Source organism: Homo sapiens, chromosome 16 (genome assembly GCF_000001405.40).
Source record: "Homo sapiens chromosome 16, GRCh38.p14 Primary Assembly".
NCBI classification, from domain to species: domain Eukaryota; kingdom Metazoa; phylum Chordata; class Mammalia; order Primates; family Hominidae; genus Homo; species Homo sapiens.
Genome location: NC_000016.10, coordinates 89412953 through 89430483, shown reverse-complemented (window position 1 = coordinate 89430483; position 17531 = coordinate 89412953). Strand labels below are relative to the sequence as shown.

General features: G+C 48.5%; 2 protein-coding genes across 6 annotated transcripts in view, besides 5 other annotated features; both read left to right on the top strand.

Annotated features, from left to right (window-relative positions):
* ANKRD11 (ankyrin repeat domain containing 11) overlaps nt 1–17531 on the top strand; it is a 222932-nt gene that overhangs the window by 60078 nt on the left and 145323 nt on the right. For all 4 annotated transcript variants that reach the window (NR_045839.2, NM_001256183.2, NM_013275.6 and 1 more), the window contains one exon: nt 12116–12200. The gene's annotated coding sequence lies outside the window, so the exon portion shown is untranslated. The remainder of the gene's footprint in view (nt 1–12115; nt 12201–17531) is intronic.
* Nucleotides 5526–5635: a silencer, noted in NCBI's record as "silent region_7901". NCBI's record gives its function as "represses an Ori minimal core promoter by ATAC-STARR-seq in GM12878 lymphoblastoid cells {active_cell/tissue: GM12878}" and the evidence as "EXISTENCE:reporter gene assay evidence [ECO:0000049][PMID:35858748]".
* Nucleotides 6753–7253: an enhancer, noted in NCBI's record as "H3K4me1 hESC enhancer chr16:89489639-89490139 (GRCh37/hg19 assembly coordinates)". NCBI's record gives its function as "activates a minimal SCP1, AML or CMV promoter by ChIP-STARR-seq in naive and primed H9 embryonic stem cells {active_cell/tissue: H9 hESC(naive and primed)}" and the evidence as "EXISTENCE:reporter gene assay evidence [ECO:0000049][PMID:30033119]".
* Nucleotides 7067–7166: an enhancer, noted in NCBI's record as "active region_11411". NCBI's record gives its function as "activates an Ori minimal core promoter by ATAC-STARR-seq in GM12878 lymphoblastoid cells {active_cell/tissue: GM12878}" and the evidence as "EXISTENCE:reporter gene assay evidence [ECO:0000049][PMID:35858748]".
* Nucleotides 9910–10409: an enhancer, noted in NCBI's record as "H3K4me1 hESC enhancer chr16:89486483-89486982 (GRCh37/hg19 assembly coordinates)". NCBI's record gives its function as "activates a minimal SCP1, AML or CMV promoter by ChIP-STARR-seq in naive H9 embryonic stem cells {active_cell/tissue: H9 hESC(naive)}" and the evidence as "EXISTENCE:reporter gene assay evidence [ECO:0000049][PMID:30033119]".
* Nucleotides 10410–10911: an enhancer, noted in NCBI's record as "H3K4me1 hESC enhancer chr16:89485981-89486482 (GRCh37/hg19 assembly coordinates)". NCBI's record gives its function as "activates a minimal SCP1, AML or CMV promoter by ChIP-STARR-seq in primed H9 embryonic stem cells {active_cell/tissue: H9 hESC(primed)}" and the evidence as "EXISTENCE:reporter gene assay evidence [ECO:0000049][PMID:30033119]".
* Nucleotides 12192–17531, top strand: part of LOC128462377 (uncharacterized) — a 101247-nt gene continuing 95907 nt past the window's right edge. For both annotated transcript variants that reach the window (NM_001416403.1, NM_001417603.1), the window contains exon 1: nt 12192–12200. In NM_001416403.1, the coding sequence (NP_001403332.1) occupies nt 12192–12200 (9 nt within the window). The remainder of the gene's footprint in view (nt 12201–17531) is intronic.

Sequence of the window (17531 nt, the reverse complement as noted above, 5' to 3'; positions counted from 1 at the left end):
GTTGAGAGTCCCTGCTGTGTACTAGAACGACTGAGCGTGAGAGTTGAGAATCCCTGCTGTGTACTAGAACGACTGAGCGTGAGAGTTGAGAGTCCCTGCTGTGTACTAGAACGACTGAGCGTGAGAGTTGAGAGTCCCTGCTGTGTACTAGAACGTCTGAGCGCGAGAGTTGAGAGTCCCTGCTGTGTACTAGAACGACTGAGCCTGAGAGTTGAGAGTCCCTGCTGTGTACTAGAACGACTGAGCGCGAGAGTTGAGAGTCCCTGCTGTGTACTAGAACGTCTGAGCCTGAGAGTTGAGAGTCCCTGCTATGTACTAGAACGACTGAGCGCGAGAGTTGAGAGTCCCTGCTGTGTACTAGAACGTCTGAGCGTGAGAGTTGAGAGTCCCTGCTGTGTACTAGAACGTCTGAGCGTGAGAGTTGAGAGTCCCTGCTGTGTACTAGAACGACTGAGCGTGAGAGTTGAGAATCCCTGCTGTGTACTAGAACGACTGAGCGTGAGAGTTGAGAATCCCTGCTGTGTACTAGAACGTCTGAGCGCGAGAGTTGAGAGTCCCTGCTGTGTACTAGAACGTCTGAGCGCGAGAGTTGAGAGTACCTGCTGTGTACTAGAACGTCTGAGCGTGAGAGTTGAGAGTCCCTGCTGTGTACTAGAACGTCTGAGCGCGAGAGTTGAGAGTACCTGCTGTGTACTAGAACGACTGAGCGTGAGAGTTGAGAGTCCCTGCTGTGTACTAGAACGACTGAGCGTGAGAGTTGAGAGTCCCTGCTGTGTACTAGAACGACTGAGCGTGAGAGTTGAGAGTCCCTGCTGTGTACTAGAACGACTGAGCGCGAGAGTTGAGAGTCCCTGCTGTGTACTAGAACGACTGAGCCTGAGAGTTGAGAGTCCCTGCTGTGTACTAGAACGACTGAGCGCGAGAGTTGAGAGTCCCTGCTGTGTACTAGAACGTCTGAGCCTGAGAGTTGAGAGTCCCTGCTGTGTACTAGAACGACTGAGCGCGAGAGTTGAGAGTCCCTGCTGTGTACTAGAACGTCTGAGCGCGAGAGTTGAGAGTCCCTGCTGTGTACTAGAACGTCTGAGCGCGAGAGTTGAGAGTCCCTGCTGTGTACTAGAACGTCTGAGCGCGAGAGTTGAGAGTCCCTGCTGTGTACTAGAACGTCTGAGCGCGAGAGTTGAGAGTACCTGCTGTGTACTAGAACGTCTGAGCGTGAGAGTTGAGAGTCCCTGCTGTGTACTAGAACGTCTGAGCGTGAGAGTTGAGAGTCCCTGCTGTGTACTAGAACGTCTGAGCGTGAGAGTTGAGAATCCCTGCTGTGTACTAGAACGTCTGAGCGCGAGAGTTGAGAGTCCCTGCTGTGTACTAGAACGTCTGAGCGTGAGAGTTGAGAATCCCACGCTGCAGGGACGTTGCTGTTCTCTCAGAAGCTGTGTAGTCCCTTCCCTCCCCCCAACCCCCATTTACATTCTGTTCATTGCATCTTAGATGTTGGGCTGTACAAATCATTGTGGGCTCACATTCTAAATTAAAAGAACAGTGCACATTCAGGGACAGTGGTGTATTCTTATTTTTTTATTTTTATTTTTTGAGGTGGAGTCTTGCTCTGTTGCCCAGGCTATAATGCATTGGCACGATCTTGGCTTACTGCAAGCTCCGCCTCCTGGGTTCAAGTGATTCTCCTGCCTTAGCCTCCTGAGTAGCTGGGACTACAGGCGCCTGCCACCATGCCTGGCTAATTTTTGTATTTTTAGTGGAGACGGGGTTTCACTATGTTGGCCAGGCTGGTCTCGAACTCCTGACTTCGTGATCCATCCACTTCGGCCTCCCAAAGTGCTGGGATTACAGGCATGGGCCACCATGCCTGGCCTATGACAGTGGTGTATTTTTAAAGGAAATAATGTTATGTTGGTTATTGCAGAATTTTATTCATTCATTCATCATTCATTCTTTCATTTTGAGATGTAGTCTCGCTCTGTCACCCAGGCTGGAGTGTAGGGCGCAGTCTCGGCTCACTGCAAGCTCCGCCTCCCAGGTTCACAACATTTTCCTGCCTCAGCTTCCCCAGCAGCTGGGACTATAGGCGCCCGCCACCACGCTTGGCTAATTTTTTTGTATTTTTAGTAGAGACGGGGTTTCACCGTGTTGGCCAGGATGGTCTCGATCTCCTGACCTTCTGATCTGCCCGCCTTGGCCTCCCAAAGTGCTGGGATTATAGGCGTGAACCACCGTGCCCGGCCAAAGAATTTTATTTTAATTAATTAATCTATTTTTTTGAGATGGAGTCTTGCTCTGCTGCCTAGGCTGTAGTGCAGTGGCACGATCTTGGCTCACTGCAACCTCTGCCTCCTGGGTTCAAGTGATTCTCCCACCTCAGCCTCCCGAGTAGCTGGGATTACAGGCGCGCGCCACCATGTCTGGCTAATTTTTGTATTTTTATTAGAGATGGCGTTTCACCATGTTGGCCAGGCTGGTCTCAAACTGCTGACCTCAAGTGATCCATCTGCCTTGGCCTCCCAAAGTGCTGGGATTAGAGGCACTAGATTATTGAAGAATTTTAAACCTTTCAAACTAAAGAGTTTAAAAAAACTGTCAAATCAGTGCCCTTGTTTTATTTTGCCCCCTTAATAATTAAAAATAATCATTTTAGAAAAACCTGGCATCATACGATTACTAGACTTTTTTTTTTTTGAGGCATACTCTGTCTCCCAGGCTGGAATGTAGTGGCACGATCTCAGCTCACTGCAACCTCTGCCTCCTGGGTTCAAGCAGTTCTCCTGCCTCAGCCTCCCAAGTAGCTGGGATTACAGGCATGTGCCACCACACCCAGCTAATTTTTTTGTATTTATTGTAGAGATGGGGTTTCGCCATGTTGGCCAGGCTGGTCTCAAACTCCTGACATCAAGTGATCCTCCCGCCTCGGCCTCCTAAAGTGCTGTGATTACAGGCGTGAGCCACCACCCCGGCCCCTAGACATTTTAATTATGTCTTTTCTACTCTGAAAAAAGTTTTAAGAAAAAGTTGTATAGTTCTGTAAGTTGTAGTATGTAAGAGGTTTACAATTCCATCTAGATTTTTGGATCACTTTTGAAAAAAGGCCGTTGGAATTCTGATAGTTACTGCACTGAATCATCAGGTCACCCTGGGGGGTGTTGCTGTCGTAAAGACACTGTGTCTTTTGATCCATGAATATGGGATTTTTTCCCTCCACTTATTTAGGTCTTCGGTTTCTTTCAACAGTGTTTTGTGGTTACAGGGTGCAAGTTTTACACTTCTTTGGTTAAATTTGTTGCTAAATATTCTTTTTGATGCTGTTTTAAATGGAAATGTTTCCTTAATCTTTTTCAGATTGTTCATTGCTTGTGTATGATGATGATACAGCTGACTTTTGTATATTGATCTTGTATCATGCAGCTCTGCTGAATTGATTGACTGACTGACTGAAGACCTTGTTGCATACCAAGAGATGGTTCTTCATGGAGTTGTATCTCATTCTGAGGTTCCTACTTGGCAAAAGACAGGCTGGTAACAGGTGTCCTGATGTCTACTGCCACTTGGATTATTCATTTTGTAGAAACAGAACAGATGAGTGTTGTGAGAGGTCACAAATAACTAAGCGATTGTTGAGTAGGAGCTTCACACTGAAGTGAAACAGCCGCTTCCCGGATTTCTCCGTCTTTTCTGTTTCCCAGTGTCCATGACGCCGATCATAAAATGGTGAGGCCAACAGTGAGCTCAAGACAAGTAGATCACAGTATATTCATGTTTCCTTTTGAGTTTTGCCATTAGACTGTGATGCTGATTTGGAATTCTGTGGGTTTACTAAGAGCTAGAAATAAATTGGTCATCTATATGCGCCTGATTTAGGCTTTCTGAAAGGTTGGTCTTATGTCTTCATTGGTCAGGATTTCAGATTTGTGTGTGTGTGTGTGTGTGTGTGTGTGTGTGTGTGTGATGTTTAAGTGACCATCAGAGCCTCTTGTTCCCTTTCAAGGCTTGTTTTAGTGAAGCCACGCAGGGAGTTGGTGTTTGTTGCTCAGGGAGCTTGTGAACTCGGCCGGCGCTGGTTGGGGTCTTGTGGAGCCGGGCCTCCTGCGGGAGGGAGGCAGGTATTGCACAGTCCAGCACTGTCCTTCCTCCACCTTCTCCTGTGTGTTATTGGGGCTGTTTTCACTGTTGGCTTTTGTGTCACTTTCTCTAGTTTGATTTCATGCCTTTGTCCTCCTCTAATTTTCAGGTATTTCCCAGTTTCTGATCTACAGCTTCCTTTGTTTTTTTTGTTATAGCTGTGTATCTGTTTACTTTCAAACACGAATTGTTTTTGCCATTCCCCTGGATCCGGTGAGGAAGGGAAGGTTTTGGCAGGAGTCGGATGCCTCCTCTGAGGACTGAAGGTTCTCCTGCCTTCCATAGTTGGCTTTTGTTCTTTAGCAGAGGAGTTTGATTCCTATCAGGGCAGGCATTATGGAAAGGGAAGAACGGTTGTGTGAAATCGTTCCCCCTTGTTCTCGTTCTGCATTCATCCACTTTGCACCTTTTTCTGCTAAATGGTATAAAGAGAATTGTTTGGGAACATTCATTTTGTTTCCTGTTTCGTTTTTTCCTGTAGTAAAAAGAAACATTTGCACTGAAGAAGGAAGCCTGGTTTTCCTTCTAGTTCCTCCTCAGGCTCACCTCAGTTCTGAAGTTTGCGTAGTTGCCTTTATTCCCTGGAGCCTTCTCTTTCACTTTAAATCAGAGAAAACGAAATGAATAGCACCCCACCCTTAAAAAAGAAACACCAGAAACAGGAAACAAATAACTGCACCTTCTCTGCCCCCAGCCCGAAAAAATCGAAATAACCGGCCCACCTTGTCCGCCCCCAACCTGAAAAAACGAAGGAGACCGACCGAGGTCAGGAGAATGGTTTGATCAGAGTGGATAGGTGACCTGTCTGCACCAGCTGGCCTTGGGATTGTGGGGCTCCTGGCACCATTGTGGGAGTGGAATCCAATTGGCTGTGTCTTTTTTTGATTGAGAACTAAAATGAGATGAGGCTGGATGGTAGGTCTTTAGTGTTCCCTTTAAGTCCTCTAAAGTTACATTGTAAGATTTTTAAGCCATAATAATAGCAGATTCATGTCCATGTTTTCCATTTCCAGTTTCAAGACTGATCGTGGTGAAGAGTGTGGGCACTGGAGCCAGCCAGCCTGGTTTCAGGTCTTGGCCCCACCATTTAAAATGTGACCTTGACTAAATTTCTCACACTTCTAGGGCCTCAGTTTTCTCATGTGCAAAGGGGAGATAATAATGATACCTACTCTGTGGGATTATTGTGAGGATAAAGTGAGTTGGTGCTAGATAAAACCATATGAAATTGTCAATATTGGACTCTTTCTTTTTTGGACTTTTTTTTTTTTTTTAAATAGTTTGAGCTTGTGTTTTGTTGTAAGAAATCCTTGAGAGCCCTTTGTACACTTCGGCCAGTCTCCTCCTCTCTTCGAATGGTAACACATTGGAGAACTGTGGCCTTAATAGAACGTCACAGCCAGGATGTGGACACGGTATCGCTGACCGGTCTTACTCAGGTTGCCTGAAGTTTACTTGTACGTGTGTGTTAGAGAGAGAGATTGATTGATTTGAGTTCTGTGCGTGTTCACCACTGGGGGCCCCCGTCCCTGCCGTGTTGCGGTGCTGAATAGTTCCATAATCGCAAGGATCGGCCCTTTGCCCTTTTCTAGCCACATTTGCCCCTTCCAGCCCATCTCCCCACCCTGGTCCCTAACCCCTGAGAACCACTGATTTGTCCTCCATTTGAAAAATTTGTCATAAGAGTGTCATATAAATGGAGTCGTAGAAATGTAACCTTTTCGATTGGCCTTTTTGCTCAGCGTAATGTTCGCTCTGTTTTGTTGCTGAGTGGTCTCCGTGGTGTGGGTGGACTCAGCTTATTTATCCATGGTGAGAAACACACATTCACCCGTCCACACCCAAAGACTGGGCTTGGAGACACACAGAACAGCAGAAATGAGACTTTTTTCTTTCTCTCTCTTTTTTTTTTTTGAGACAGAGTTTTGCTCTTGTCACCCAGCCTGGAGTGCAGAGGTGTGATCTTGGCTTGCTGCAACCTCCGTCTCCTGGGTTCAAGTGATTCTCCTGCTTCAGTCTCCCGAGTAGCTGGGATTACAGGCATGCGCCACCACGCCTGGCTAATTTTGTATTTTTAGTACAGACGGGGTTTCTCCATGTTGGCCACGCTGGTCTCGAACTCCCAACCTCAGGTGATCTGCCTGACTCAAAGTGCTGGGATTATAGGTGTGAGCCACTGCGCCCAGCCAGGAAGCAAGATTTTTAATGGCAGTCTTGCAAGATCAGGTGCCTGGTAGGCAGGTACACCCGGGGCAGTCACAGCAGGTAGTTTATCTCCTCTAATGCAAGTCCCTCCCCCAGTTCCTCACTGGTCGAGTACTATGGGGTTACAATCTTCCCGGAGGTCGCCTGAGTTTCATTATCCCGTTGTACGCCGTCCCCTTACCCGCTTACAAGGTTGTACCCTGTCCTCTTACCCGCTTAAGTTTTGATTTCCCAATACTGAAACTTTCTTCCCATTTATGGGCTGACCCCTCTTCTACATTTTGTTCGCTTATTGTGACCTTCTAGGTGCACGAGCCGTGCGGTTTGTTACATCCGCAGGCTGGCTGCCATTGCGTAGATTTATCATGCCTGGAAAACGGACCATTTAAAACGTTTTCTTACACCATCGAAGCACATCTGGGCTGATTCCAGTTTCTGGTGCTTATGAATAAAACAGCTGTGAACAACTGAGTGGAGTTTATTGGACCATTTTTGACCTCTAGTAATGGTGGGCTCACATGTTTGAGTTGAGTTGGGTCAGGTGCTGAGTGCCTGCTGCTGCAGGCACCACCTTGTGCTTTCAGGTTAACTCTAACCACACATCTCATGCCTTCTCTGTGCATGTATTTGAAGTTACTGAAAAAGTATTTGTCAAGAAAGCCACAGCTCCGCACTAGTCTCTTAAAACCCATCCGTATGCTCCTGTACTCATGAAAGGAATGCACTGCGGGCCGTTCTGTGGGAAGCAGGGAAAAGACAGACCTGGCCCTGAGACAGGCTGGTGTGACTGCCGTTCGGAGCCCAGGGTTAATGGTGCTGGTTAGTCAGCCAGTGTCGGGGGCAGATGCCCATCGTCAGTGGCTCCCCTGTGGACCCTCCCACCCAGCCTAACGCGAATGAAAATCATTGTTTGCATAAGGTCATAGCTCTGGCTAGCAGCGTTTTGAGACCAAGGCCAGTGTAGGGACCTGTCTTTGCTAACATGGACTCCTGGGCTCTGAGGGTGTTGGGAAGGTGGCTCACGGGAGGGAGCTGAGGGGCCTGAGCTCACAGCTGTGAAACCACCGTGGCCCTTGGTTGTCTGAAGGAGCAGCGGTGTGGGGCAGCCACAGGCCTCGTGGTTTTTCTCTGCTGTCAGTTGGGGTTAGTCAGTGTGGACAGAAAGAATTGCTCATCTTAGCGGATTGAAGACTATGGTTAGCAAGCAGTTGTAGATCTCCTGATTGAAAAAAGTGATTATTGATGTGCTTTGATATAAAGAAAGAAAAAAAGAAAAAAGTGATTAAAGTGGGAGTGAATTAAACATTAATACAGTTGTGTCAGTCAGAGTCTCCTGAAACTTGTGATTCTCTTAGGGGAGAAAAGGGAGACTGTAATAAAAACATGAGCAATCTTGAACTTCCGTTCCTTTCCAAAAATAAGCATCAGGTCTGCCCAGCTTCCTTCCCAGGGAGGCTGTGATTCTGTTTCGGACGGTGCTCGTGGCTGTGACTGTTCGTCGAGAGCAGTGAGTAAAGCAGCTCTCATGCAACAAAGCGAGGGGAGAGCCCAGGGCGTTGAAAGAGGTGGGGTGCGATTGGGTCAGCGCGAATATCGTGTTATTACTTGACATATTGAAAAGTGTGTTTATTACTGACCCATAGTCGCACCTGTTAGTGGAGTCCGGTAGGATGCCTCAGTCCGTGGATGCCTTGTTTACCGATGAGACCAGGGTGGTTACTGTGTCCATCCCCTCAAATACCACTTCTTTTTGGTGATAACATCCAAGATCCTTTTTTTTAAAATTGCTTTTTTTAAAAGAAAAATTCTGTAAAAAAATTCTTTTAATGGTTTGGATATTCTTAGGGTCTCAGTCGCTCGCCCAGGTGGAGTGCAGTGGTGCCACCCTAACTGACTGCAGCCTTGAGCTTCTGTGCGGAAGTGATCCTCCCACCTCGGCCTCTTAAAGTTCTGGGATTATAGGTTTGGCCTAGAGCTCTTTCTTCTTAGGTAACTTTAACTTTTTACCCGTTGATTGTATTAAATAATTTTCTTTCCCTATCCCTAACGTGGCAAATAACCCACTTAAAGGGGTTGATGAGAGTAAGGAGTCCAGAGTGGTAAGAGCATTTAAAACCTCACATTGCTCCACCATTCAGAGAGAGCCGCCATTAGTACCTCCTGGGTTTCCTAACACAGAATGCGTGTAGCCGACTCCTTAGCACCTGGGTTATCATCTTGTCCTGTTGCCATTTCCATAGGTAGAAGCAACTCCCTGTTGTTTTAACTGGATTCTGGTTTTGGTTACCCCCACCCCTGCCCCAAGACATGGATGGGCAGTGGTCCTGTCATCACACACTGACCCTTCGTGTCTCACCCCCACCCCCAGACATGGACGGGTGATGGTCCCATCCCTGACTCCGTCATCACACACCGACCCTTCGTGTCTCACCCCCACCCCCAGACGTGGACGGGTGATGGTCCCATCCCTGACTCCGTCATCACACACCGACCCTTCGTGTCTCACCCCCGCCCCCAGACATGGACGGGTGATGGTCCCATCCCTGACTCCGTCATCACACACCGACCCTTCGTGTCTCACCCCCGCCCCCAGACATGGACGGGTGATGGTCCCATCCCTGACTCCGTCACCACACACCGACCCTTCGTGTCTCAGCCCCACCCCCAGACATGGACGGGTGATGGTCCCATCCCTGACTCCGTCATCACACACCGACCCTTCGTGTCTCACCCCCGCCCCCAGACATGGACGGGTGATGGTCCCATCCCTGACTCCGTCATCACACACCGACCCTTCGTGTCTCACCCCCACCCCCAGACATGGACGGGTGATGGTCCCATCCCTGACTCCGTCATCACACACCGACCCTTCGTGTCTCACCCCCACCCCCAGACATGGACGGGTGATGGTCCCATCCCTGACTCCGTCATCACACACCGACCCTTCGTGTCTCACCCCCACCCCCAGACATGGACGGGTGATGGTCCCATCCCTGACTCCGTCATCACACACTGACCCTTCGTGTCTCAGCCCCACCCCCAGACATGGATGGGTGATGGTCCCATCCCTGACTCCCTGACTCCGTCATCACACACTGACCCTTCATGTCTCCATGGTCTCTGTCTGCACTCAGCCTCCACAGGCCTGTTGATTCCTGAGTTGCTGTAGGCAGGAGCTGACAGTAAGAAGTGTAGCCTGGTGCTTTTCTGTTTGACAACATAGCTTGTTTATAGTCGTGGTGGTGGTTTTGATGTGAACATGTATTCTAAATGAAGCTTTTTTTCACACCTTAGAAAATGTCTTTACTTGGGAGGCTGAGGTGGGAGGACCCCTTGGGCCCAGGAGGTTGAGGCCGCAGTGAGCTGTGTTTGCACCACTCCATTCCCAGCCTTGGCAACACAGTGAGACCCTGTCTCTTAAGAAAAATCTGTAATGTTTATTCCAAATATTTTAGAGGCTCTGGATTGGTACTGTCTTCCAGAGATAATGGGATCAGTTACTGAGATTGTCTGTCAGTCAGAAAGAAAAGACCTTCAGACCAGAATTTTCTCTTCCCAACTTGCTTTCCATACCCTGTGGGACCCTAAGACAACAGAAAACTGAGTTTTGTTTCACTTTTAACTGATGTTTTTCACTTTCACCTGATTTGGGCCCAGTTTCTTCATACATGGGAAACAGCAGCTGCATTAAAGCAGCAGTTCTCACCGGCGTGTTTTGCCCTTTAGCGGACATCGTCTGGAGACATTTTTGGTTGCCAGGATTTGCTGGGTGGCCTTACTGGCATCTAGAAGACCGACGCTGCTCAACCCTGTTGGCGCGCTGAACCCAAATGCCAGTGGCAGTGAGCTTGCAAATCGTTGGACTCATGATGCTTTGAGTGCTCTCAGGACTCTGGAGGTCGATGCTGGGGTTCCTCGCTGGCTTCCTGCTGCTGATGCTCTTCCCCTCTCTGAGCTCTTTTACGGAAAGCTTCGTGGCACACTTGCTGCTTTTCACTGAAACCAGGCTGTGTGGTGACTAGAAGCTGCGTATTCACATTTATTTTTATTGATTGATGGATTGAGGCTGCTGTGCAGTGGTGTGAGTAGCTCCGGCTACAGGCGCACGCCACCATGCCCAGCTAATTTTTTGAATTTTTTGTAGAGATGGGGACTCGCCGTGTTGCCCAGGCTGGTCTCCAACTTCTGGGCTCAAGCAATCCGCCTGCCTCAGCCTCCTGAAGTGCTGGGATTACAGGCGTGAGCCAGCGCACCCATCACACACTTATTTTTAATGGTCCTTGAGGTTAATGGCAGCTTTGAACAATCCTGTCCAGGAGTGTAAGGAGGAAAAACCTCACTCCATCTTCCAGGAGTGTAAGGAGGAAAAACCTCACTCCATCTTTGCAAAACGCATGTGCCAGGAGTGTTGCTCAGGAAACACGCGATTCTCTCGGATGCTAAGTGCAGAGCCGGGGAACCCTGCACCAGCAAGCCCTGTCCTGGGAGCTGCCTTCAATCCTGTCTGTGCTTCCTTCCCTGGTTCTGCACACGGAAGTGTTTGGAGTTGGAGGAGAGCCTGATGTTTGGATGGGACTGAAGTAACATGGGTATAGATTTTTTTTCCCCCATTTAGACTGGTTTGTTTTATTCTTGGAGTCCCCAGAGCTCTTCAGGGAAATTATATAGTTTTATTCAGCTGCCTTTTTTTTTTTTTTTTAAGACGAGTTTCGCTCTGTCACCCAGGCTGGAGTGCAGTGGTGCAGTCTCAGCTCACTGCAACCTTTGCCTCGCAGATTCAAGTGATTCACCTGCCCCAGCCTCCCAAGTAGTTGGGGTTACAGGTACAAGCCACCACACCTGGTTAATTTTTTGTATTTTCAGTAGAGACGGGGTTTTGCCCTGTTGGCCAGGCTGGTCTTGAACTCATGACCTCAAGTGATCCGCCCACCTCGGCCTCCCAAAGTGCTGGGATTACAGGCGTGAGCCACCATGCATGGCTTTATTCAGCTTTTTAAAAAAATGGTACTGCAGTATAATCTTTTCCTCTTAAAATACTCAGTGGAAATGAAAACCACCTTATCTTTTTTTGCACCTTTTATGTAGTTTAAAACTTAATATGCTTCTTAAAGTTAAAATTAGCCTTTTAAGGCTGGGCATGGTGGCTGACGCCTGTAATCCTAACACTTTGGAAGGCCGAGGTGATTGGAACACCTGAGGTCAGGAGGTCCAGATCAGCCGGGGGTGGGTGGCGAGCGCCTGTAATCCCATCTACTCGGGAGGCTGAGGTAGGAGAATCGCTTGAACCCAGGAGGGGAGGTGGAGGTTGCAGTGAGCTGAGATCACGCCACTGCACTCCAGCCTGGGGGACAAGAGTGAAACTCTGTCTCCAAAAAAAAAAAAAAGGCCTTTTAAAAACTTAGCTTACTGGTAATGTTTTGTTTCTGTGGCGAGATTGCCCACTTGGGTTATTTGGTTTCTTACGTATAAAAAGCCCCAGAGCCTCTAAAATCTGGTTTTATGGTGATTTCACAAGATTGTATCAGTGTCATCTACTCTTTTTTGTGCTGGACTTTGGATTTACCTTTAAGTTGTTGCAATTGCTGCATTGTGACGTAAAGGTATTTGATGAATGAAGTTAAGTTTTGGCCTTGGCACAGTGACCAGGAGCTGAGCAGTGGGTCATGGGAGAGGAAGGGCGATGGAATAAACCGTGTGGACCAAATGGAGGGAGACGAGAGCGATGAAAGAACTGAGGCTGAAATTATTATTGACATGAGCTAATCTCACTCTCTTGTTTCAGAATATATACAGCCCTGCTCTGGGACACACCTCCATTGGATTTAAAAGACAGTCCTCGTCAGCACTGACTTTCAGCTATGGAATCGGTAAATACTCACTGCATTCTCTATCAATTTATGTTTTTGTCATTGATTTGTAAAAATAAGTATCAAAATAATGCGTGAGTGTCCAGGTTGGTTTTCTTGGACTTGATAGAGTTTTGTCGAAATGTTGTGAATTTTGTTCTGGATTTCACTTAGAGTGTATTCAGAGTGGTAACAGGTAAGCATTTTTGGATTAATGAATGGGATCCTTGGTGTCACAGTGAGAAGAAATCTGCTGAAAAATTAAATAGGTTGTTAATAGCCTATAAAAGAAGTTTATTTCCTCTTGTCCTCCTTTAATTTTCTTCATCCTCAGATGGTCTGGTGATGACTGAGACCCCCACCCTGTGCTGTGTGTTGTGTGCTCTGAGCATGTTGTGTTAACAGTTTGCGTGAGGATTCTGTATCCTGGGAGCTGTTCTGCTCGTTAGGATCCTGGTGGTCTTGCCTGGTTGTCCTTGGATGAGGATTCTGTATCCTGGGAGCTGTTCTGCTCGTTAGGATCCTGGTGGTCTTGCTGGGTTGTCCTTGGATGAGGATTCTGTATCCTGGGAGCTGTTGTGCTCTTGTTAGGTTCCTGGTGGTCTCGCCGGGCTGTCCTGTGCTTCTGGGCATAGTGCTGTTGCTGAACCCTCTAGATGGCTATTCTGGCTTTTCCTAGGAGCTGGAGACCAGTGTGTATGGTTGGCAGGTAAGGAGTGGGAGCCTGGTTCGCCAGCCCTGACTCCTTGCCTCCTCCTGGGAGTCACTGGCATGTTTTTTGAGAGGAGCGGCAGCAGTCTCCAAAAAGACTTTGGCCTTGGCTCTGAGCAAGCACGTGTCGCTGTAGGGCAGAGTCCTCCCTCCTTCCAGAGACGCATGGTGAACTGGCAGGTTATTTTCTCTGATATGTGGATTGACAGCAGTTGAAGAGAAAACTTGGCTAAATTAAATTTTCATATTTTGGCCAGGTGTGAGTCATGGTTTTAAAGTGAACATTCCAAAAATACATAATCTGTTTTGTGTTGTTACTCCCAGCAAACGTGAAAGAACCTTTCCTGCAGCTTCTTTCGGGAGCTTCATAGTTTGGTGTATCTGTTCCTTATCTCAGTCGCCTGGAGTCAGGCCACTTTAAAATACACCTGACTGCTTTCTTTCATATGACTGAATTCTTTCCTTGGAAATAGAGGTGAGGTTTGAAGGAAAGGGAATCTGAGATATCCTTGAAAATAGGTCTAGAATTGTCTTCTCTTAATCTGTGGGATGGTTTGTAGTTAGAATGAAGCCAGCCTGGGTAGTGGGCATGTTTGTGATCAGGTGAGACATTTTTCAAGATCTGGAGGTGGACTGAGCCTGGTTGTGATAAAAGGGGTGCCATGGAGGGGCCAGGTACATGGGAAAAGGGGGGCAGCGATGAGGGAGCACCCCACACCCCAGGGTCTGAGCTGTGCCTCTTTGTGAAAAGGATACTGCTGACCTTAATGTATGACAAGGAAAAGCAAAATGCTGCATTTTCTTTTTTTAATTTTTTTTTTTTTTTTGTAGAAACAGAGTCTTGTTACGTTGTCCAGGCCTGTCTTGAACCCCTGCTCTCAAGCAATCCTCCTGCCTCAGCCTCCCAAAGTGCTGGGATTACAGGTGTGAGCCACCACACCTGGCCAAAATGCTGCTTACTAGTGTGAAAAATAAAATTATTAATCAGCAATTAGTGGCCAGGCACAGTGGCTCACGCCTGTAATCCCAGCACTTTGAGATGTCAAGGTGGGTGGATCACTTGAGGCCAGGAGTTCCAGACCAGCCTGCCAACATGGTGAAACCCCATCTCTATTAAAAATGTAAATATTAACCGGACGTGGTGGCGAATGCCTGTGATCCCAGCTAGTTGGGAGGCTGAGGCAGGAGCGTTGCTTGAACTGGGAGGCGGAGGTTTCAGTGAGCCAAGATCACAACACCGCACTTGAGCCTGGGCGACAGAGCAAGACTCTGTCTCTGGGGAAAAAAAAAAATCGATGGATTCAAAATACAGGCTTCTCTGATTAAAGGGGAGCAAGCTATCAGCAACTCTGCTGACAGGACCTGGAATTGGCCTAAATGTCTAGCACTCTAGTGGATTGAGAACAATAGATGTACTGATACTTAGGTTTGATGACATAGGAAATGTTGGCATTTTTGACCATGCCACAGTAATAATCTAAGGTGTTTAATGCCATTTGTCACTTTTGTGAACTATAGATCCTCAGTATTGATTTTGTCTTTTGTTTGCCTGTGGTGGTTAGATTGAATACGAGGAAGGCCCTTAGCATGAGGTCTGTTGTGGCCTCCCATCAGGGAGACTGCAGTGTTGCTACAGAGAGGCCCTGCTGAGCAGAGGTTGGGCGCAGTGTGACCAGAGGCGCCGTGACCCACATGGGCATGTGAGGGCCTCCTGAGGACCTCACTGAGGCTGGTTCTCCATTGTTTTTTTTTTTTTTTTTTTTTGAGACAGAGTCTAGCTTTGTTGTGCAGGGCCTGGAGTGTAGTGGTGCAATCTCGGCTCACTGCAACCTCCACCTCCCAGATTCAAGAGTTTCTCCTGCCTCAGCCTCCCAACTAGCTGGGATTACAGGTACCCACCACCACACCCAGCTGATTTTTGTGTTTTTAGTAGAGATAGGGTTTCACTGTGTTGGCCAGGCTGGTCTTGAATGCCTGTTCTCCATTGTTTTATCTGGCATTAAAATGCAGGGTTTAAAAAAAGAATAGCTTGCCGGGCGCAGTGGCTCACACCTGTAATCCCAGCACTTTGGGAGGCCGAGGCGGGTGGATCATGAGGTCAGGAGATCAAGACCATCCTGGCTAACACGGTGAAACCCCGTCTCTACTAAAAATACAAAAAATTAGCCGGGCATGGTGGCAGGCGCCTGTAGTCCCAGCTACTCGGGAGGCTGAGGCAGGAGAATGGCGTGAACCTGGGAGGCGGAGCTTGCAGTAAACCGAGATCGCACCACTGCGCTCCAGCCTGGGCGACAGAGGGAGACTCCATCTCAAAAAAAAAAAAAAAAAAAAAGAATAGCTGGCCAGGTGCAGTGGCTCCCACCTGTAATCCCAGCACTTTGGGAGGAAGGGGTGGGTAGATCACTTGAGCTCAGGAGTGCGAGACCAGCCTGAGTAACATGACGAGACCGCATCTCTACAAAAAATAAAAAAATGAGCCAGGCATGGTGGCATGCATGCGCCTGTGGTCTCAGCTACTTGGGGAGGCTGAGCGGGGAGGAAGGATCACTTGAGCCCAGGAGGTTGAGGCTGCAGTGAGCTATGATCACACCACTGCACTCCAGCCTGGGCCGCAGGGTGAGACCCTGTCCCAAATAAAGAAGAATAAGAATGTTACAGGTGCTCTGATATTTTTCATGTTGGTATTTGTGTCATTCCCGTGTTTCACTTTGATTCCTTGGGGTGGAATGTGAGCCGTTGAGATGAGATCCACAGTCGCTTCTTCAGTACACGGTGCTGTGCTCTTCTCTCCCATCTGGGCGTGACTTAGGTGCCCAGCTTGGATGGATTCTAGGCTGGTCCTGCCCTGAGGTTGGGCCAGGTGTGGCCGCAGTGACATAGGGTCCCCGACAGCCTTGTGTGATGGGCTGACTGGTGCTAGCTCTGTGGCCCTGGCCCCTCCCTTCCACTCTCCGAGCCTCAGTCTCCTACCCAGGACAGTGGTCACGGTCGTATCTACTGTAAAGACTTCCTTGGAGATTAAATAACACTTTACAGAAACAAAACTGCATGAAAATAGAGGCTTTAAAACAATTTTAGTTTGTAAATTGTTTCTCCAGTATAAAAGTAGTTGAAGCTGACATCTTTCTTGGCAAAACAGAAGGGTTAGTCCTCTCAGGCGGTGCGGCTGCGTGACCCCCGATGACCCCAGCACGCGGTTCCCAGTGAGTGTGGCCGTGAGTGACAGCGGACTGCTGACCCTTGCAACATGTGGGTGTTCCATTTGTGCTTGCTGTGAAATGGGACTTTCAAATTACCTTTCCCAAAAATTGGGGGTTTTGAAAGTGGTTTGTTAATGATAACAAAGGCAGTGTTGTTCATATGAAAAGAGGCTTGGACTTAATGTTTTACATTTTTAATTGACATCTCCATTTAAGATGGAAAAGTAATCAGGTTCTGTCTTGCTGAAATGTTGAACTTGTAAGGCAGGTGCGATCGTGCGCCTCAGTGTCCCCGAGTGCGCAGTCCGAGCAGCTGTGCCTGTGGCATCCTGGAGGGTGTGCAGGCCCGTGGCGGAGGGTGTGCAGGCCCGTGGTGGTGGCTGGGCTGGAAGTCAGCTCAGCCAGAGCCGAGCCCCCTCCGCTTGCTGTTGCTGTGCTGGGGTCCCTGTCTGGGTGGCCAGGTTGGAGGTGGGGAGGGGAAGGGCTGCTGTTTTTGGTACCACCCTCCTGCCTCCCCCCAGTCTGGCCTTGAAAGCAGAGAGAGGCTCTTTCTGGGCAGGCCCCTCTGCATCCTAGGGCGTTGTGGGAGTGCAGAGTCTCCCTGGCACCCTCACCCCTGGGGAGCTTGTCGGCTGTTTCTGTGTCCTGCCGTAGAATGCTCCAGGGGTTCCTGGCGGCTGCTGACAGCCACAGGACTAGGTTTGCAGGTCTGTAAGGGATTTGTAGGTGCCACTGTGAGTTCACTTCCATTTCCTTTATTTTTTTCTTTTTTTGAGACAGTCTGGCTGTCGCCCAGGCTGGAGTGCAGTGGTGCGACCTCGGCTCACTGCAAGCTCCGCCTCCCGGGTTCACGCCATTCTCCTGCCTCAGCCTCCCAAGTAGCTGGGACTATAGGTGCCCGCCACCACGCCCGGCTAATTTTTTGTATCTTTAGTAGAGACGGGGTTTCCTCGTGTTAGCTAGGATGGTGTCGGTCTCCTGACCTCGTGATCTGCCCACCTCAGCCTCCCAAAGTGCTGGGATTACAGGCGTGAGCCACTGCGCCCAGTCCACTTCCATTTTCAACATAAGTTTTTGTTAAGATTTAGAAACAGGTAACACCATACTTCCATTATTATCAAAAAAATATGCGTAGTAATTATGCCAAGATAAATAACTCCATTGTTTAGTAGAATCAGTTTTTATTTTAGAGTTCTGAGGAATTATCTGTGGCTAGGCATCTTTAAACTGCAGTAACTTATAGAAGATGCTGTGTCATTTAAGTTAGACCTGTTCATGTGAAAATGGGCACTTGTGGCTGAGCGGCGCCCCCTCCTACTCCCTCCCCCTCCAGGCTCTGGTTGATGGGCAGAGAGTCCCAGGGCCTGGGGGAGGGTTTGGAACATTGGAGCTCCCCATTGGGAGCTCTGGCTGTCAGCTGTTTTCCCTCATGTGTGCTTTT